The 22,121-nt window shown below is 38.5% G+C and overlaps 2 protein-coding genes across 3 annotated transcripts in view; one reads left to right on the forward strand and one right to left on the reverse strand.

The window, feature by feature from the left end:
• The window catches only part of TNFRSF11B (TNF receptor superfamily member 11b), a 28,329-nt gene extending 11,914 nt beyond the window's left edge, over nt 1-16,415 (reverse strand). The window contains exon 1 of the mRNA NM_002546.4: nt 16,322-16,415. Coding sequence (NP_002537.3) covers nt 16,322-16,351 — 30 coding nt within the window. The 5' untranslated portion in view covers nt 16,352-16,415. The remainder of the gene's footprint in view (nt 1-16,321) is intronic.
• COLEC10 (collectin subfamily member 10) overlaps nt 16,793-22,121 on the forward strand; it is a 156,193-nt gene continuing 150,864 nt past the window's right edge. For both annotated transcript variants that reach the window (NM_001324095.2, XM_005250756.4), the window contains exon 1: nt 16,793-16,908. The gene's annotated coding sequence lies outside the window, so the exon portion shown is untranslated. The remainder of the gene's footprint in view (nt 16,909-22,121) is intronic.

Consider the following 22,121-nt stretch of genomic DNA (forward strand, 5'->3'; position numbering starts at 1 on the left):
AATTACAAATAATGATCAAAGTAATGCAAGAAAGCAAGATGACATGTCTGACTTTGTTGCTAGTTTGTCATTTGAATATATAATGGGACAACTTTCAGGGCTTCTATAATTAATTCTCCTATAATATATATAGGAGAATTATATATGATACATAATTCAGGGCTCCTATAGTGTAATCAATTCTCAATATTATAAAATGAGGATTTCCTGATTCAACTTGCAAAAACATGTGAAAGTAATGAGAAATACTGTTTTCTCTTGCTGTTCACATTCAGTTTCCTGGAAAGCCACTTTTGAGAGTTGTGTTTGCTTTCAAGAGGCCTGGCTTAGAGATCCAGAGGGATTCCTTTATCTTGAGTGCCACTGCTAAGTGAGTCACATCCTGGTAGGTAGGAGTCCTGAAGTTTTCCCCAGCAGAACTTCCCACTGGTCTCCCTTTCCCATTTCAACATGGTTCAGGTGTGCCCATTTGTTCATCAACACGGACTCTTCTCCCTTGCCAAAAAATGATGAGAATAGGATGGGAAAACTCCACAGATGGTGCCTGTGATCTTCATTAGAAGAAGCCGTATAAATACAGATATGACCAAGAACACTGATGCATTTTATATTTTTCTAGGTATTTGGACATGATATTGTTGGTTTCCCAAAACCATGCTTCAGAAATTTGTTGCTCTTTCTTAAAGATACAGGGAGGTTGAGGTGAAAGGAACCCACAGAGAAATGAAGAAATAAGGTCAACTTAAGAATTAGAGAGTATGTTAATGAAGGTAATTTCTCCAAGGCTATCACGTGGAATAATCACATATATTTTTAAAACTGAGAAAGCCTTGAGAAATTACAAACTTGTTTTCAGCAAGTTCAATTGGGCCTCTGTTTTAGTTGAAGATTTTTCCACTTTGGTAAAAAGACAGGCTCTGTGTGGCCAAAATTGGATGTTTAGGTCTCAATCTTTGGTTAGCCCCAATTCCCACACAGAATTTCTGGACTCAGTTACTGGACAGAGGATGGGCAAGATTAATAGAGCTCTTCATCTCAGTCCTTTCTCTCGGTTTCTTCTGCTTATTTCCTGGAAAAGCGATGAAAAATATGCCACAGGACAGATCACCTTAACATTGGATACAGCTCCTTTGCCACTTGATAATATTCAAAACCTAATAAAACCTTAAAAATTCATTTCTGTGTAAAATGCAGACCCTTGATGAGCATCTGCCCAAGCTGGGACACATGCATCGGTGTGTCTGAGGAAGGATGAGGTGCTGTCTGTAGAAGAAGGTACTCCGAGATCGCGCCACTGCACTCCAGCCTGGCGACAGAGCGAGACTCTGTCTCAAAACAAAAACAAAACAAAACAAAACAAAAGCCTACTCTATTTTTTGTTTTATGCTTGACTTTTAAAAAAAGAATTAAATGATTTTCTTTCTGTGTTCTTTCTTTCGTTGTCCTCCCATTCCCTGGCTACCTATCATTTTGTATAGACCACTTATGCTTTAAGAGAATCTGAAAGTCTTCTAATCTAGTGCTTCTCATCAGTCCAGAATTTCTTCCTGAAGCCTCCATTCCTCTTTTTTGAAAGGAAAGTTAAGGTTTCATCTCAGCTAGCTTTATCCCTCTCCTTGCCTTCCATTTTTAATATTGAGCAATGTTAAAGAATTTTCCATTTTAAGCATAAGCATCTTTTCTCACATATCAAATGCTAGCAGACAATGGTAGAAGGTGAAGATGGTGGGTGAGTTGAATTAACTGTTCTCTAATGCCTTTTCTAGCTCTATCATTGTCTTATCCTTTGGTTTCATAGTTTAATTACCCAGTGAACTTGGAAAAAAAGTCTTGCTCTAATCCCCTTCATACTTCTTGTTCCACCTTGTTTTATTTGTGGAACCCCTCTTTATAGCAGAACTCTTTACCAACCTCCCCTCTTCAGATTCACCCATGCCTTCCATTCCCTCTGTAAAATCACCTGATGTCCCAGCTTGTCAGTTATGCTTTTCCTCTAGCAAGCCAGCTCATGTTTGATCCTACCAGTGGAGTTGCATGCTTAACAAAAGTCAGTTCTGAATCTGTTTATGCTACTTGTAACTATAATTAGGAAATTCAATTATTATGTAAACCAACAAACATGAGTGTGAAAAAAATTATTTTTCTATGAAAAGTAAATGGAATGCTTTGGAATGACTTGAAAAAAATGAAGCCTTTCCCTTACCCTCCAAATAAAACACAGAAAAAACAACCTACTGCAGAATTTGGAATAGGTGAGATAACTGTTAAAACAGGGAAAACATCTAGAAGGATCAATTAGTTTCAATCAATTAGTTTCATAAATATCTTTAAGTTCCAAAGCTGAATGGATGGGTAATACTTACAGAAAAGAGTTTTGTAAGAAAGGCAGCATGAGACTTAGCAAACACTGTCTCTAAGAAGGGGTTTAGTTGTATCTCAAAATACAGAGGAATGAATGTTTACTTAAATGTTTTAAGTCAAAATAAAATATTTAAGATATAAGTATATAATTTTTATTAAATGCGCTAACTGATTTTGCAATTAATCATTCAGCTGTTGGTCACAAATATACAAATTTCTAATAATTCCCCATATTTAAGAAGTAGGAAAGTATCATAATGGTATATGCAAGAAGAAAAAAAGGAGTATTTTGAACATGGAATTTTATTTTGTCTATTTCAATTTTATTTTTATTGAGATGGGGTCTCGCTATGTTGCCCAGGCTGGTCTTGAACTCTGGGCTCAAGTGATCTGCCTGCTTCAGCCTTCCAAAGTGCTGGGATTACAGGTGTGAGCCACCACACCTGACCTGTTTTGTCTATTTCATTCAAGCATACATGTATTAAAGCAACTCTGTGCCAGACAGTGGAAGAATAAACAATATATATAATATTTTGGTTTATACCTACTTAGAATGTTTAATCATTGTTATCATTACGTCTCCACCAACTATAAAAACGAGTCAGGGTAATTAACTTGTTTCACATCATAGTAATTAGTGCAGACAGAATTCAAACTTAGAGCATGTGCCATATAAAATGAATTTTTTGGTCAAATCCTTTAACATTTACCAAATGCTTTCCCTTACGCTATTCCCTTCACGCATTGTCCAAAAGTAAGCCCTAAAGTGCTTAATTTTCATTCAGTCTCAAGGGCATAGAGTTAGAAGATCACCAGTGTTAGGAGATCAATCACAGCCTTCCTGAAGTCCAGATAAACTGACCTTGACTTTTCTTTGTGCTAAGACTAGCTTTTGTCCAAAGCTACTGAGTTGAAAATTTATCAGATCACAACTAATTTGACTAGAGAATTCTACTGGTGTATGCATCTTCCTAAAAAACAAAAGAATACACTTGGTCCAGCAAGTTTATTTTTGCATTATGCAATGCAGCCAATCCCATACTACTGGGCCTGCTTTCTGTATGCAGAACCATGAGTGACACAGTGGGTTTCCATTTATGGAAATTCATTAAAAGAAGCCCACACAAAGTCTGAAATAACCACTTGGTTTGGGAGTTCCTTTTGTGATCCCTCGTCATGATCTTTGCCACAAAGAACTATTTGAGGACTACCCAGAGTTAGCTAAACTTCTGGTCAGTTTTAAAACCATGTCAGTTTACAGTTCGTCTTAGCCAAGAAAGGAAACATCCAGGATATATACTATGGTGAATTTACTAAAGATCTCTCGGTACTATGAGTTATGAAAGTTATCAAAAACTGTCTTCCTGTGAAGGTCAGTTTATTTGATTTTTTATTTATATTATACCTCCTCTCCCCTTTTCCTCCATTCCTCAAATAATTCATTTATTCATTCAACAAGCACTTATTGAAACAATTGCTATGTTCTGAGAATATGACTAAGTGGAGTTGAATAAGTTAATGTAAGCATGCATCCAAAAACCCATTCTGATTTAAAATACTCACAGATCACTGCAAAACAATTGGAGGCATAAAAGGGGAGAAAGAGCAAGAAAAGACTCAATAGAGAAACAGGTTGGAAATTGTGAGGGGCACTGGTAATGGAGAATGAGAGGAAAGAATAGGTATGACGTGTTGGCTGGTTGCATTGGGAGGGGGTGGTGCTAGGAAGCAATCGAAGAGCACATCCATGAACTCTAGCCAGTAGGTATGTGGTGTTGCCATTAATTACTGACAGCAGGAAGAGCCAATAACTATGAAGAAAGAGAAGGAATTTGGTTTGGAACATCTATCTGCCTTCTATATGAGACTCAAGTGATGATGTCTGGTAGACAATTAAAACTATGTATTGGGAACTCAGGACAGAAAAGCAGCTGAAGACACAGCTTTCGTGGTTATGAGCACATAAATTGCTCTAGAAGCAGAGAGACTGGAGTGACATTACCCAAAGAAATTGTGTACAAGCCAAAAAGGACAAAAGTGTTAACCCTTGAGACTTATAAATATTTGGTGAGCTAGGATGAAAAAGCAAAGGATTAAATAAAAGAGATAGCACAGATAATTTTAAAAAGGGTGCTAAGTGCATATACACTATGGAATACTATGCAGCCATAAAAAAGGATAAGCTCATGTCCTTTGCAGGGACATGGATGAAGCTGGAAACCATCATTCTCAGCAAACTATCACAAGGACAGAAAACAAAACACCCCATGTTCTCACTCATAGGTGGGAATTGAACAATGAGATTACTTGGACACAGGGCAGGGAACATCACACACCAGGGCCTGTCGTGGGGTGGGGGGAGCAGGGAGGGATAGCATTAGGAGAAATACCTAATGTAAATGATGAGTTGATGGGTGCAGCAAACCAACATGGCGCATGTATACCTATGTATCAAACCTGCACGTTGTGCACATGCACCCTAGAACTTAAAGTATTAAAAAAAGAAAAGGGTGTTAAATGGGTAAGATCTGAAAAGTGCACAGCTTGGCAATTTGGTCAATAAATTAACAAAAGCACTTTCAGCTTGGAAACCTGCATTTAGAATATGCATACCACAATTCCAAATTGAGCTCCACCACTACTTAGTAACCATGATCCCACCCCTACAATAAGAATAAGACTTATTTTTACCTACCTCACTGCAATTGTTATATTTCAAATCAATGAAGGGACACAAACATGGTAAGAAATAAGGGTCAGACTATCATGAGACATTATTACACAAAGTAATTATACAGGAGGTAGGAAGTGGAAGACATTTCAAATCAGACTCATTTCTGGAGACATTTTAAAGGTTCTTGTTCTGTATGAAGTAAGACACCTAAATTGTGCCCTAAGTTCATTATCTACTCTGTTCTTGTCTCCAGAAAAAAAGCACCTTGGACATGTTGATAAAATTAGTTTCAGTATCTTCCCAATTGGCATCATTTTCTTGGTGTAGAACAAATGATTCAAGGCAGTTCCATGACTTTGTTTAGAAAGCTCAGCCAGAAAATAATTTGTCTCCATATTTCTTAAATGCTTAGCATGGTGTCTTACACATGGCAAGTATTCAATATATCTTTTTTCAAATCATTAGACATATTGATTATCTACTGTGTATCATTAGGATCATTGGAATTATACAGATGCAAATAAATATTCACCATGTAAAGGATACATTTGCAAGGACAAGCACAAAGCCTGCAGTTTTCTCATCTGTAAAATGATAGTGATGACCGAATTTGCCTAAAGGAAGAGATTTTTTAAAGCATCTTTCATCTCACATGGTGTTTTGTATGTACTGTTCCATTTGTTCTTAACTTCCATTTTAAAGGTGAATGTGTGAAAAGAGCAGACAATTCATGGGAGAAGTTTATCTACTGCTGCCAGTTCCCCACCTGAGAGTCTACCACTGCTTAATAGTTTTCACAATAGCCAGTTGTTTGGCCTAGGATTATGTCTCTAGGTAAGGCAGGAAGGGCAAATGAATTAAATCTGTTCATCTATACAGACCTGATTTGCTTCTAGCCTTTTTCCTAGGCAAACAGGGGAAAAGAAGCACAAACAATTATGATTTATTAGATGAGTCACTGGGCCAAATTCCACACAATTTTGCTTCCCTTGAGGCTGAAGAATTGTCTTCAGGTAAAATTTAACTTTCAGTGTAATTTTTGTTCCCTTCAGAAGTTTCCTTTAGTTGTCTGAAGGCTTTTAAATTAATTAGCAATATCTTGTTTGTGTTTGGAATCAATCATAAATGTTAGGTTGAATTTGCTTATGATGTTTTTTGCTTCTTCAGGGGAATTTTATAGACAATTAATATTTGACAGATTAACAAATGAAGGCAAAAAAACAAAAAACAAAAACAAGAAAATCTCTGAGAAAAGAGAACTTGTAATGCAGGCATATGCTTAAAATTTTCTGAAGAAGATATACGGAAATTGCACATATTTTGGCTCACAGATCTTAATATTTCTTCCTTTGGGCTTCTGTTAGTCATCAGATTTGAGAATTAGCATCAGGTTTGAAAGCCAATTCAACAGCAGGGATGGCCGAATTTTTCATTGTAATTATCTCATTCAGGCCCACCTGACAAGCACAAGGGTAGCACCGCTACCTCAGGGTCTTCCAGCTACAATCCCTGGCATTCTGGCCCAGAACTGGAAGGATGTTTTTGTATGTTGATATTTTTGAACATCAATTTTTGAATTATACTTTAAGTTCTAGGGTACATGTGCACAACATGCAGGTTTGTTGCATATGTATAAATGTGCCATGTTGGTGTGCTGCCCTCGTTAACTTGTCATTTACATTAGGTATATCTCCTAATGCTATCCCTTCCCCCTCCCCCCACCCCATGACAGGCCCCCCCGTGTGTGATGTTCCTCACCCTGTGTCCAAGTTTGAACATCAATATTTAAATTCCATTTTATTTCTACAGTTGCTTTTCTTTGAAGATAATGCATTGCTCACATTACCTTATGAATCCTTTTGGTTATTAATGACCTGTATTGAAGCCCAATCAATATATGACAATGGACAGCTAGTGCAAATTAGATACGAAAAGCCATGTGGTGATGAAATGGAATAGAAACTAGAAGAAATGGACTAAAACAGAATTCAAGCTAAACCTGTAGATATTGACTGCATGTCTATGATGTGCGAAACATCATATTGGAAGCCCTGAGTGATATGGCAAAAAATAATAGCTTAGTATACTCTATTATTATATATGGGGCTATATACTCAGCCCTTTCTTCACATGCTATTATCATTCCATCCCCTGCAACCATCTCTAATGAGATATGATTATCCCCATTTTACATATAAAGAAACCGAATCTCAAAGAAGTTGAGTGACTTTTCAAAGGTGTCAGAGCTAGCACACATTCAAGCTGGGATTTAAATCCTATCCCGTCTGAACCTAAGCCTTTAACAACTGACTTTTCCCTCTCGGAGCTTGCAGTTATGAAGAAGATTGACATATAAATGGTCAACTGCAACACAAAACTCAATATGATTTACTGTCTATCTATCCATCTACCTACCTTCCTACCTACCTACCTATTTGACCATCCGTCTGTCCACCTACCCACCTATTCATCCATCCATCCATCCACCTATCTACTCATACTGGTGAATAAATGCTTCTCCCTTCCTCTCTCGTCCTAAAATACAGTACTTTACACAACCTCTCTGGTAGTTATTCCTATGAGATTGAGTAATCAGTTGTAATTTATACTAAGCAGTAGCTTCTCAGTAATTTGCTCCCTTGAATTTGTTCTCCTTCCTTTTCTATGTTACTCATCATACACTTATTCCTGCATCCCCAGGATTGTACTTTCTAAAAGGTACTAAAACAGAAAGTTTTTTGTTTTATGTTCTGTTACCTAGGGAATCTGGGCTCATGTCCACTAAGGCAAGAGCATTTAATTGCTAAAGAAAAGAATTATGGTAAACACCTGAAGCTGAAGGAGGAGCTGAAAAAAGGATGAGAAGTATACTAAAATCACTTCACCCAAGGATTTGACCCTCATGAGCCTCATCCTGGGCATTCTTAATCCCTGTGGAAAACTCTGGGTTCAGGGTATCCACAGAGGCTTTCCTCTGATTAATGGGTATTTTTTACTGGACTCAGCTAATAGATATATACTAGTATAGAGCAGAAAAATTTCTCAGCTGGGTAACATTAGGGAAAGTTACCTAACTTCTCTGAACCTCAATTTCCTTATCTCTGAGATAGAGATACTAATCTCTGCATCATAGGCTTTTTGTGAAAATTAAGTGAAATATGGTATGTAAGGTCCAAATACAGTACCTATTCTAAAAATGATTAGCGTCTTTCTATTTTATGGCTTCCTCTTTTTGGCTTGGCTTAAATGGGTAAAAGTTGTAGATGAAGATAACTGAACTTCTACAAACGAAGGGTCAACTGGAAGCAATGAAAAGCATGATCCCTGTTTGGTTACTGTCACATAATAGGGTGTTTGATTTGGAGTCTACTGGTGCCTGTTGACCTTCCCACTCTGCAGCCCAGCTAACCCTTTATGTAATCTAAATTTTGAATTTTCGAAGTTTCAGCAGCAGAAGACAGAAGAGATCCTTCTTCATGAATCCTTCTAACAATAGCTTTGATGAAGAAGGAGTTGAAGAATCTAAAATCACAGATTTAGTCTTTTGGGGTTTGTAAATGTTCTTTGCAGTTGCTTACCCTCAATGATCAGATATAACTGGGATTTGGCTACTGAATAAGTCAAGGCTGGTTGGGTCTTATGTCATGCCAATAAACAACTTCAACCATCTAACTGGCTTAAAAACAGCACAGGTTTATTTCTCAGACATAGTCAAGTCCCTAGTTGGTCTGCTGAAGACTCTTACCATTGTCCTCTGTCCGGGACCTAGGATGATATAGCAACCAATACCTGAAATATTGCTGATTTGCTGTCAAGGAGGAAAAGGGAAAAAACAAACAACTTTGGGAGGGCTGTATACATCAACTATTAAGTGCTCTAATTTGTAAGTGACTTACATCATTTTAACTCATGAGTTACTGGCCAGAACTATTCACATTCTCCCCGACCCCATCCTCACCAGGAGGCTAGGATACACAATCCCACCAAGCTTCTGGAAGGCAGAAGAACTGGGAACAACTGGCAAAGAGCACAAACAAGTACATCATCCTCATAAACATTGCTCATGCTTTCTATTGGCATTTATTTTAGCACAATCTAGTTTTTTTTTCTTTTTTTTACATTTTTTACTGGATATTAAAAGAAGAGACAGGAAACAGAGCGTGGGTGCAGAGGTCTCTGTCTATCAGCCTGGTGTATTATTCAAGTGTAGTTGTTAATGGTCATGCCAACCTACCCATTATCATGCTTATTCTGCCTGAAGGTTTGACGTGTATTCCAAATAATGGTGTGCAGTTGTCAAGTACTTCCTTGTGAATACAAATTCAAAGAAAATTCCACTCAATGCATCTAAGGAGACTGCAAGTGACCATAATTATATCTCTTCAGTAAGTCCTGAGGGGATGTCTTGAACCTGGCTTTTAACTAAATGGGATATGAAAAATATGCACATTCATAACTTCTATGCATATTGGCTAAAGACAAGGAGAATGTGTCTCAGAATGAGAAAATCTTTTTTGGCTTAAAAGAATAATTTTTGACTCTAAAATATATAAGTCATACTACCTACTATCTAAAGGTAGGTAACATTTCAAAAGCTGCTTCATCTTGTGGTCTCACTGATTTAAATAGAATTTCTTATACATGAACCAATGGGGCAGAATAAACTTTGACAAAGGCAACAAAATAGAATATTTTAAAACATTCCTATAATGTTTTTTATAGACAAGTCTGTTTGATATTTGCATGTTTTGAGCGGGAAATAATGCACAATTGTGTGTGTGTTTAATTCAGATGGCAAAATCTTTAAACTGCATCAGACCTTCCACATATGACCTATTCTAACCTCTATTTTAGAGATGCTGGAAGTAAGACCCATAGAAATGGTGTCACCCATTGGAGCTCAGAGACTAAATACAACTGAGAACTTTGGAACCTGGCTTTTAACTAAGTGAAATATGAAAAATACACACATTCATAACTTCTATGCATGTTGGCTAAAGACAAGAAGAATGTGTCTCAGAATGAGAAACTCTTGCCTCTCACCACTGCCATTGCAAAAGTATTGTCACCATGACCCACAACTGAATTGTTAAATTACATTTTTTGGTGATGGTGGTGGTGGTGAAATTGATGCAAATTGATGGTCAGGAGAATTTTTTAAGGAATAGAGTGCTGATATTCATATTTCTAAGAATAAAAGAAATCATTTTTTTGGAACAAGAAAGTAGTATTACATGGCAAGAGAACTGAGGTTTCTGGATCAAAGACCAGAGAAGAAAATTGGATTTACTAAAGGCAGCCACAAAGCTTAGATGAGTCACTGTCTTGTCTTGAATCTAAATTCATCTTGACACCTATTTTCCTATTTTATTGGTGATTATTGAAGAGGCTATTATAGAAAAGGTCCAGTCTGAATTGGAGTAGAAATCTTAAAGCTATTCATTTTATTTTTAAAGAAGATGGCTTCAAGGAAATTAAATATTTTAATAGGTATTAAGACTATAAATCTAGAGAGGTGAATTTTTTTAAAAATCACAACAATAAAGAGGTAAATCAAAGCCATTATCAGCACATTACTTTTTTTGGAAGGGCTTTAGGAATTACATTTCATTTCCTCTTGCATCCTCTATCCATTTATGGTGTGGCTGATTCAGGTGCTTCTGAGAAATTGGGGTGAAAAAAACTACTCAAGCACCTCGGAAATTATGCCAACTTGTAGATGGAAAGAACCATTTTAGTGTGTCTGTAGACTGTTCTAGCCTCAGAACGTTCATTTAGAGAGGCCAGGTAAATGTGAGAGAGAGTGGGTACCACTCAGTTTCTTAGCTAATGTGTTGTAACACTATTCTTATCCCTTACAACTGTCTAAAAGGATTCTTTTTTTAGACTTTCTCTGCTAGTTACCCCAAAATATTCTGTGGTAGTGAGTTCCAAAAACTAATTACATGTCACATAAAAACACCGTCCTTGTATCTATTTCAAGTTGGCCATACCTCACTCTTTCTTCTAGCATAGATAGTTTACGGATGTTCCTAGGATTTCCGATTCACTAGTTCCTGCTATTGTGGGTTGCTAAGTTTTATTTTGATTTTTGTTTTCTTTTCTAAACATGGCTGCTACTGCTGTTCATATTTGCATTTTGTTTACCAGACTATCGATATCAGAATTGTGCTCTGGGGGCGGCTTCACACTCTTCTCTCTTGGCTTGTGAAGTCATCCATCTCTATGGCTCCAAAAATCTTCTCTAGGCTGTTGAGACACATTTTTTAAAAAAATCTCCAGCCCAGGCTTCTCCTGCACTCTAAAATATTTTATATCTAAATGCCTACTTGACATCTCTGAGACATGTTACAAACACATAAAATTTATCAAACCAAAAATGAACACTTGATGTCCAAACCCACCATCATTTGTTCTCCACTCAGTAGCTGTGTATACCTGTATTCTCTACTCAGTAGATAGCACACAGTCCCAACTGGATGGGAAGGCCAGAAAACTGGTACAGCCAGGCTTAGATTGCACTCCAAATATCAATATATGAATCTGGTACATTTTTGTTACTGGCTTAAGAATGGGCTTTTGTGAAGGTATTGATATGAACCTTTATAGTAGGAATATATAAATGTATTTAAAATATTGGTCAGGTGGGTAGGGTGTTATGTGTATCTTTTCAAAGAGATCAAAGTCAACATTAGAAGTGAACTATCTGGCAGTAAGCTAAATTCTGTTGGAACATCCATGGAAATTGCCAGTGGCAGTAAGCTAAATTCTGTTGGAACATCCATGGAAATTGCCAGTAGACGATCCAACACCCTAGCAAATCTCTTTATAGCTCCTTTAACTCAGGAAACACACCTTATTGTCATGCATTATGGAGATCTTGGGGCTACAAATGAACAAGATGAAAATCTGCGCTTGCAAAGAGCCCATACTTTGCCACAGAGGTGGTGCTATCCCTTAGGAGAAGTTCTAGGAATCTGTGGGGGCATTTCTCTGGTCATAATGACTGTATGCTGCTGGACATCCTGAACAATAAAGAATAATCCCACGTCCCACACACATTCATGTCCTATTGACCACTGATATAAGAAATCTAAGTAAAAAAATCTATTATCTGAGTCTAGATCAGAACTCCATTTTATATACACACACAAAGTGCTTTTTGCATAATTGTTATACAAACTTAATTTTTCAGGAATTTAACAAGATAAATTTGATAGAAGATTATTAAAATTTGTTCTGTTTAAAACTCTAGCAACATTTGTTCACCATTTCAGAAAATCATAGCACCAAAGCCAATGCTAACCATGTTTTTGAGTCACCAATATTACACGTGTTCCCCAGTCTTTATTCCTAGTGGTGTGTTTATGGCAATTTTACAAAAAGATGTCAGCATATCACTACTTCTTTAAGTCTTCAAGTGAAGCCTATTTTATTATAAATTACTTTCTTTTTATTACTTCTTTATAATATAGTTATGACAGTATATTGATTTTTAAAAATTATATGTGTAGGTAAAATATATGCACTCTGAATTTCATTTCAGGAGAGCAAGGAGGTTGTTTCAAAGGATTTATTGTAAAAGTGCATGAAAGAAATCTGATATAATTGAGAACTACTGCCCTACAGGGTAAACCATACAAATATCCTGATAATTTTGGCATCTCTGCTCCATTGTAGCAACATAAGGAGCAGCTAGACATCATCAGTCAAGGCTTTAATGCAAACAAATTTTTGTAAGATCACTGTTTCCCTTCAATATATTCCCCAGCCTTTTTTTTTTCTTTTTCTTTTTTGGCTGCAAAGGAGAAACTCAAACTAAAGGAAATGCTATCGGTTAATGAGATGCTAGAGAAAATAATGCTTTTTACAAAAAGCTTTCACACAAATGGAACATGCCAGCAGTGGGGGGCTGACGGTTGCCAAGAGCAAAACCCAGCAGGCAAGTTAGTGGCTAGGAGAGCAAAAATACCTGAGTGTGTGTTTAGTTCCTTTTGATCAGCACTGCCATAGCTCTCCTTCTAGAACTAACCGGATAAACCATCTGGTGCAGAACGCTTACTTCCTCAATCAGTGGAATTTCACAGCTGTAGTTTCAGCTTAAGTAAAATTTGAAACTAGATTGAAATTAGAAATTGTGCTGGAGGTTGCTAGGTGACCCGGGCCAGGAACGTTGCTACGGACAGGGATCAGGACTGTTTTGGATTGAGGGTATGTCAGATTTTCCTAGAAACTTCAGAGTATTCATTCTCTTAAAACAAAACAACAAAAAAACAAACAAACAAACAAAAAAAAACTTAACCACTAGGGGGAGGGAGAGGAAACCAAAATAACAATAAAACAACAAAAAGCCCCCAAAGGCATTATTCTACAGGAAAACAGACAGACCAGACATTTTTCCTGAGAAAAAAATAAATCTACCCCTCCCTGCCCACTTCTCCACCCCAACTCCTAGTATCATAACATTAATTCAGAACTTAGCTTTGAGAAGTTCAATGGATGGTTCCGATACTACTTGATGGGAAGTTTCAGCCATCAGTTAAAACCTAAGCCTGAGTGAAGCAGAGCAGGCCTCTGCTTAACTGCATTAAGGAACATTCCAGGAAAGCCCATGTCTATGACATTAGTACTAATGACAACATCCCATCCCTACCTCCTTCCCTGCTTGCCTACCAGCATACCCTTTGCACTCACAAAAAGAATCTAGAATTCTATTTTGCTACACAATCTTGCCTTCTCTCACTTCTTTGGTCCAAGATGCCTGATTTTAAATCTCCAACAATGAAACGTCATACCCCTCCTCCAGGATGACGGTAGATGGCCATCTCTCCCTCCTCTGAGTATCATCAGCACTTCGTTTACATAATTCACTTGGATCTAGATTGTCCTAAAGTTAGTTATCTGTGAGCATCATGCTAGGAGCTAGTGTTGATATGAAGCAGAAACTTTATGTGGGCATCTTGGATATATGCATATCATTATTATCATTTTATAGAAGACAAAACTAAAACTCAAGAAGTAACTTGGCCACAGTCATTTCTCAGGTAAGTGGTGGTACTGGTATTTGATTTTTGGTCCACATGATAACACTGCACTAGCAGCTTCCCTTATAAGGTGCTATATGGCAGAATCTTTTATATTCCCAAGTCACCCAGTAGTTTCTTTCTTTGCAACTCTATATACACAATTACTTGCCCAATATCTGCTTTCTCCATTAGACTATGGGTCCATGGTGAAAGGAATAGTGTCTATCTTGCTTTTCACACTGTCCTGATGCCTAGTGCCAGTGGAATGCCCATTATAAAGAAATAAATATCTGTGGTGCTTCTAGTTCCTACAGTGGCACCTTGGTTTTACAAAAGGGCATCTGGACTCTATGTGTAAATACAAAGTGTCCATTTGCAATCATTTTCAAAATAAAGTAAGTCTCAGAAGCTAAAGAAAGGGGAAGCAAAATTCTTCCTATATAAAGTATTTACTGTGTTCAAGACATATACGAAGTCTTATCTTCTGATAATGCTGTATCATCTAAAATTAGTATTATCTACATGTTTGTCTATCTTCCTGTACAGACCACATATAAAAATATTTTACTATTTAAATTTATGGATACTTCTAAATAGAAACATATATTATTTAGTGGAAACCCTGAAATTTAACTCATTGCTAGTATGTTTGTTATTAATTAAATCTTTGACAAAATAAAAAGGGCTAGGAAGAATAAAAATGTCCCCATATTAACGGCAGCATTATTTATACTAGCCCAAAACTAGGATGATTAAATCAATTGTGGTGTGTCCATACAATGGAATACCATACAGCAATGACAACGGACAAATTATTCTATATCCTACAGTAGAGATGAATCTCACAACAGAACTTTCAGTGAAAGAAGTCAAATGCAAAAAATTGAATAAGTTCCATTTATAGGAAGTTCAAATACAAGCAAAATTCATCTATGTTGTTCAAATCAGAATACTGATTGTTCTGGCCATAGACACAGTAGTGATGGAAGCTCTTGAGGTGCCGATAATATATTTCTTGATCTGTGTGCTAGCTCACAAGTGCTCACTTAGAAAAACTGCATTAGGCACTTACCACTTGCACAATTCTCTATGTGTTATATTTTAATAAAGGTTTACTTTTTTAAAAGCACTCCATAGTATCTCTAGCGATGAAGTTATACACACACACACATACATACATATATATTTTAACATACTTATGGGTAGATTCCTATCCAACTTACCTGTTCTTTAGTGTCTTTACTATTTATTTACTTATTTATGTTTCTGTATCCTAGGAACTAAGTAGAAGACTACCTAGCCTTCTATTCATTATTTGTGGGTTGGAGGTTGAAGTTCAAACATTTACTCAAACACATCCAAAACACATATGTGGCTTAAATATGGCTTTTCCTAGCCTTGCATAAATGTCTGATTCATATCTTGATGTACTCTACACTCTAGTGTCATAGAGAAAATAAGTCATTGGTCATAGAAAAACCTACATGCAAATCTTATTAACTTGATCAAAACCTAAGCTTAAAAAAAAAGCTAAGTCACAGAGATTCCTTTCTTTTCCAAATAACATTTTAAACACAATTTTTAGCCCTATTTAGTGAACTTCAATTCTTTAGATATGTTTTAGAACATAACATACTGCCAATATTCTCCACAGTATATTGAAGTTGAGAAGTGAAATAATTTTAACAATAAAATTTTATTAAAACATTACACAGTTAAGAAGTGTGTGTGTGAGAGATCTTTTCTCCTAATTATTCAAAATTTCACATAATATTTACATTAGAAAAATCTATCATGTCATATTCTAATTATAATGGTTTTAAGAAGACTAACGTCTTCTTCCAACTTACTCTGAATCTAAGGGACCACTTCTTTGCCACTAATAATAAAAGTTCAAGTTCATTAAGCAAAGATAGTATGGACTACATGAGGGCGTTAATATTCTGAGATGAAGACAGAAGGTTAATGACTAAAACTTTCAAACAAGTTTCTCTCTCTCTCTCTCTCTCCCTCTCTCTCGCTGTCTGTCTCTCTCTTGCTGTCTTCCATAAAGTCAGCAGGAACTTTGCAGCGTAAAAGGACACCCTAGGGGAAGCATGGCATAACTTGAAAGCGGTTTCCTGCTCCAGCCTAACCCCAAGCCTCTCCTGGGAGGGAGCGAGTGGAGCCTTCTCCCCGCCGGTCCGCTGGGAGGTTGGGAGACCAGGTGGCAGCAGCCTCCCCAGGCGCCGGGCACCCGTCGGCTGGCCCAGGGACTTACCACGAGCGCGCAGCACAGCAAGTTGTTCATTGTGGTCCCCGGAAACCTCAGGGGCTTGGAGGCGGCGGCTGGGCGAGCGCTCCGGTGCGTCTCCGCAGCCCGTGCGCTCATCACGTTATATATAGCGTCCCGGCAACAGGAAGTATCGCCTGCCTTTGATCAGTCATTTTTCTATCCTGGACCAAACTTTGCACCTTTCTTTTTTAGGAAGCTTGGGCGGGAGCGGTCGGGGGGTGTGCAGAAAGCTCCAGGGTTAACGCTTTCAGGGCTGGGGCGGAAAGGATCCCCCAGGGAGGTGGGGCGTGAGGGGTGGGGCGGTGGTGTCTGGCCCCTGGGAGAGCAGGGGAAAAAAAAGCCACCGGGCTGAGGAACAAGGCGGCTGCTGTCTCCGCGGGGCTCTGAGGTTTCCCGGCCCCTTCCCGCCAGCGGCCAGCCTCCTGGCAGCCGGGACCAGCGGTGGGAGGGCTGGGCACACGCTGGGCAGCTGCTGTGCTTGTGTCTCCTCCACCCTGAGAGTCCGATCCAGCCAAGATCCGGACGCAGTTGGAGTGTGTCCCAGACCTTTGTCCTCTCGCTGGGCGAAAGCTGTGAGTTTCCGCCGTACCCGGCTGCCTGACCCCTTCACTTCGGGTTCTGAAACCTCAAATTACAGGGCCCCTCTTTATGCATGGCATTGTCTGAGCCCTTTTCGGGGAGTTCGCAATCATTCATCTTCAAGTTTACATAAACCATGTAGTAGGAATTTTTCTAACTAATGTCTGATTGGCCCTAAAGCCCGTGCTATTCTGCATTCACTCCTTGTTATCTGGGGTAGTTAGAGCCAGAGAGAATCTGCAGAGTGAAAATTGGACTGCCTGGGGCAGGGATAACCTTGCGGAGCACTGTTCCCTTCACCAACCCCACCATCATCAAAGGGCTATTGGTATCGGAGCTTCCTACGCGCTGAACTTCTGGAGTAGCCTCCTCGAGGTCTTTCCACTAGCCTCAAGCTATCGACAGAAGTTTGGCACTTTGCTCTAGGGTTCGCTGTCTCCCCCATTAATTCCCTGGTCTAGAAGTTAGACTTGATGACTTGTAAAGTGTGGTCCCATTCATGGATTACAGTTCGCGGGTTGCCACTGAAATTGTTTACAGATGGCTGAAAAAGTCCCTGCAGAGCTGCTTCCCCATCAGGGCCAAGTGTTCAAGTTATATGTCTCCAGAGAAGGGCAAATACTGCCTTTCACCAGATTCAAGGGAAGGAAGGTGAAGAATCAGGAGAGGGGACCCCTGGGGAGCAAGGATGGCTTACCAGGATCAGAGCATCTGCCCCTTCCAAGGGACATCCTTCCACCACGAGTTCAAAGTGGATCCACAGACTGTTCCATCCTGCAAATTACAGAAGACGGGGTGTCATTCAGCTTTGTCCCTCAAGGGCCAGAATGTAACAGCATGCTGGTTTCTTAAGTGAACTAGTGAATAAATGTAGCTCAGTGAGTGTGGACAAAATTGTATGACTCCAAATCACTCCTTGTATTTTGAATCGTAGTTTTGACATCTGCAACCTGAGATATCAACACTTAGACTTGCCATGGGACTCAAGTCAATCCAAGTGTTAGTAGTGAAACACAATATAAATAGCAGTATTATTGTTTTTGTTAGAGTAATGTTTGTCTAGGATATTATTTGAAGGTGTTTTTCTCAGAACATAAAATGATGCCAATATGTGGGTGTCAGACCTTGGAGAAAACTAATCAATAACTGAGTCCTTCAGTGTTAACCCTGGGAAAGGTTTACGTCTCCCTGAGCCTCATCTATAAGATAAAAACACACTGATATTGCAGAAACGTAAGAGAAAGCAAATGGGAGCGTTTAAAAAACAATTATATAAATGATGGTAATCACTAATTATGAGCATTAAATAAAGTAATGCATGTAAAATAACTCAGCACAATGCCTGGCCCATAGGAAATATTTCCTATAGTTATGATTATTCTAGGGGAATACCTAAGATACTGGCCTTTGTAACCTAGATTTGAGCCCCAACTCCAATTTTTCCTAGCTCTGTGACCTCAGACTAGTTGCCTAACCTATTTTTGTTTCCATTTTTTGTTATTCCTATAATGAGGATAATAATCACATCTACCTCAAAGTATCATAACGGTTATTATAAAGATTGAATTAGATAAAAGATGTAAAACACTAAAAATAGTGTCCGGCACATAGTGCTCATTAAGTGTCATTATCATCTGAGGTTCTCATGGGGACGTTTGTATGAGCACAAGGCAAATCTAGATTGTAAGCTCCTGAGGGCAGGAACTACTTATTTTTCTATGGTATTCGCTGAAGCTTTTAGCTCAAATTCTGGCTCTCCCTGCAAAGGAGCGATGGTGGTAATTTGGGGATTCAGGGGATTGGTAATTAGCTGTAAGCTGGAGACAGGTTGGGGCACCATTTATCTAGAATCACAAAATAGACTGTGTATTGATTGTGCATCTCAGGGCCTAACTGTGGGCCCTTTATTCATCACTCACTGACAGAAAACTGACAGAGACCATGAATTATCAGTCATTTCATCTGTTATATTCTTGGAGCAATCTGGCCAATCCCCTAGGGTATTTCTAAGTAATCCACTACTGTGGGCTGCAGGCTTTGAACACTCTGAGCTGAAGTTCATTTTAAGATTTAATTGGAATGGACCCAGGGATTCCAGACTGAACCCAAAAGGGGACATTTGAACAGTAACTGGAAGACTACATTCATCTTCCTGTGACAGATCCCTCATTGGCAGAGGCCATCGGTGACATTAAGCAGAATGTTCCGTAACTTTAACCTTCTGTTTCTAGGCACCAGATATATGTGACGCTAACTTTCTAGGGGACACCTCATCAGATATTCCTCATCTCTTCTTTCCTAAACTCTTCTGAATTAGGTCCCACATTGAATAGATTTTGGATTGACCCCCAGTGACTGTCTACTGCCCCAAAACCCCATTTCAGCCACTTCTAAAGCTTAGAGAAATGGTGCCTGAATATTAGGAGTTCCTACAGGGAAGACACTTTATCTCTTTAGCACAGTAGCACAGCCTCTGATCCAGATGGTCATTTATAATCATCATCATAATGGAAATACCTGAGACTCAGGAAAGCAATTGACTTAGGTGATTTGGGAGACAAGGCATGCAGCTCTAAGTTAACTGAAAAGTGTCTAAAACATCTTGTGCCTACACTTCCTCACCTGAAAATTGGAAATACCGGTTCTGGTTATGCAGAGAAAAGGATATTAACTTGAAGAACAAGAACAAATTCCTTGTTATTTCATGGTTATTAAAAAGAAGTTTTATTCTGATTTTATAAAAGGAACAGAGAAAAAGGAGGAGAAAAACAGCAGATAGCCCATTGACTTATTTTATTAATGTTTATAATTTCTTCCTTAAAAAACACAATTTTAACCATATTAATATTTGAGACACAAACTATTTGCCTTTATAGGTCATCTAGACTATGTTTTAAAATGTATATGTGGGTATGTCTTTTAAAAAATAATGTACAGAAAGGTAAAGGTAAAGTTATCTAGCTGACTCACTTTCTGATGAAGAAAGATGTCACTTTCTGATGACATCACTTTCTGATGAGGTCACCAGTTGTTTAAGGGTTTGCCTGAACGTGTTGGACTAGGGGTAAGTAGTTGCTACTTATGGTTCACTACTCACCTATAATGTGATTCTGGCATTGCTAGCCATTCATTACCATAGCCCTTTCTTTGAAAATTGGCCTTAATCACACAAATATATAAACAAGACTGTGTATCACATGAAAAGAAATAAGTGGCAATAGAAGGACCTGACTCCATGTACCTTTTAACAAGAACTCTGAAAACTGCGTATATTGACAAATGATGAACACATGGTGAAGAGGTGGGGAGGGAGAGCCTTTGGGCAAGGAGGACAGGGTGTTAGTAGGTCTCCCAGTGGGAGGAAGCAAGGTGGGATTTCAAGGAACTAGAAATATTCCAGTACGGTTGCTGCATGGAGAGCAAGGCATTGTGTGGACCAGGAGGGACTGAAGAGGTGAGTAGACAGTGGCTAGGTTGCAGGTGGAAGTGATTCCAGTCTTTCTTCAAAGAACCATACAAAGCACTAGAGAGTTTTAAGCATGGGAGTGTGTCTTAATCACTTTGGACTATTACAACAAACTATCATAAACTGGGTGTCAAATTTAAGCAACAAAAATTTATTTCTCACAGTTTTGGAGGCTAGAAGTTGGAGGTCCAGAAACCAGCATGGTTGAGTTCTGATGAGGGCCTTCTTCTGGTTTGCAGACTGCCAACTTTACCTTGCAACCTTACGTGGCAGAAAGGGTTAGAGAGTTCTCTGGGGTCTCTTTTATAAGGGTACTAATCGTATTTGTTAAGACTCCACCTGCATGACCTAATCACCATCCAAAGGCCCCCTTTCCTAATAGCATCACCTTGAGGGTTAGGATTTCAACATCTGAATTTTTGAGGAACACAACATTCAGTCCATAACAAAATGACATGATCATTTAAGCTGTTGAAGGGTGTAATTCTCTGAACTTCACCCTGCTCATGGCCATAAATACAAATAAAGACATGTAAGAGAAAACTCTCTTAAACTGCAAATCACAGTCAAATTGATGACACCTCTGGGTAGGGAAGTTGGGAAATAAGGAAAAATGACCTCAGCAGTCCATAACAGGGATCTGTTGTTCTGATCAGCTCAAGGAAGAGATACAACCTCTTGCTTATAAACTTTTTCCAGTCACTCTAGTCACTTCAACTGGAGTTTCCAGAAACTCAGATAGTCATCTAGTGCCTACTCAGTCCCAAGAAATCAGATTCTTAGTTAACTGATGCATATTTCAAATAACTACTCATCAGATGGCTTCTGAACAAATAAATGTTTATATCAACAGAGTACTAAAGAATACTCTACACCTACTCAGGTTTTCTCCTCAAAAATTATTGATGTAACTTGATCATCTCTAATATTCAGAAATGCTCCCCACTTCCCTGATGCCCATGTAATTTGTCTATACCTGGCTAATGAAGATGTCTTCATTAGATAAAAACTCTTAAAACTATTTTCTTAATAGTCAATGAGGTGCTTCTATTTGGGAAAGTCCCCAACTGGAACTAAAATAAATTTTTAGAAACAGATGAGATAGTTTTCAGAGAAACTAGCCTACAAGAGTGAATTCCTTCCTGAAACAAGGGTTTTCCTATAAACGCCTTACCCTAAAGGAACATTTTCAAATAAATATTAAACCAAAGAGGGGAGTGAAGTGCCTTAACATTTAATGAAGGGATACCATTAACAAATCAGGAAAGAAAGTATGTCTCAGCACCAAAAACATATACATTTATTCAGCAAATATTGACTTAGTATATACTGATGCCAAGCACTGTGTTAAGTATCCTGATACAGATCAAAAGTCCCCATACTTCTGAAGCTTACAGTCAAGCTGGAGAGAAAGAGTCACCAACTAAACCTAGAAATAAACTCTTCGGATGGTGATAGGTCAATTTTAGAGCGGTGATGTCTATGACACAAGATAATGTAATGGTGACGGCTATGAAGGCCTACTTTAGCTGAGCTGTTTAGGGAAGGGCTTTCTGAAGAAGCCCCTTTTGATCAGACAATGGAGGTAGAGAAAAGAACACATGAGGTGGCCCAAGGGAGTAAAGTCAATGAGGCTAAGGCCAAGGGAACTGGAGAGAGATATACCTTATGTGTCCAGAGAGGTGAGCAGGGCCAGTCCATGCAGTGTCTAGAGAGTCAGGGTAAGGACTTGTCAGTTGA

The sequence above is a fragment of the Homo sapiens genome, chromosome 8 (genome assembly GCF_000001405.40).
Source record: "Homo sapiens chromosome 8, GRCh38.p14 Primary Assembly".
NCBI classification, from domain to species: Eukaryota; Metazoa; Chordata; class Mammalia; order Primates; family Hominidae; genus Homo; species Homo sapiens.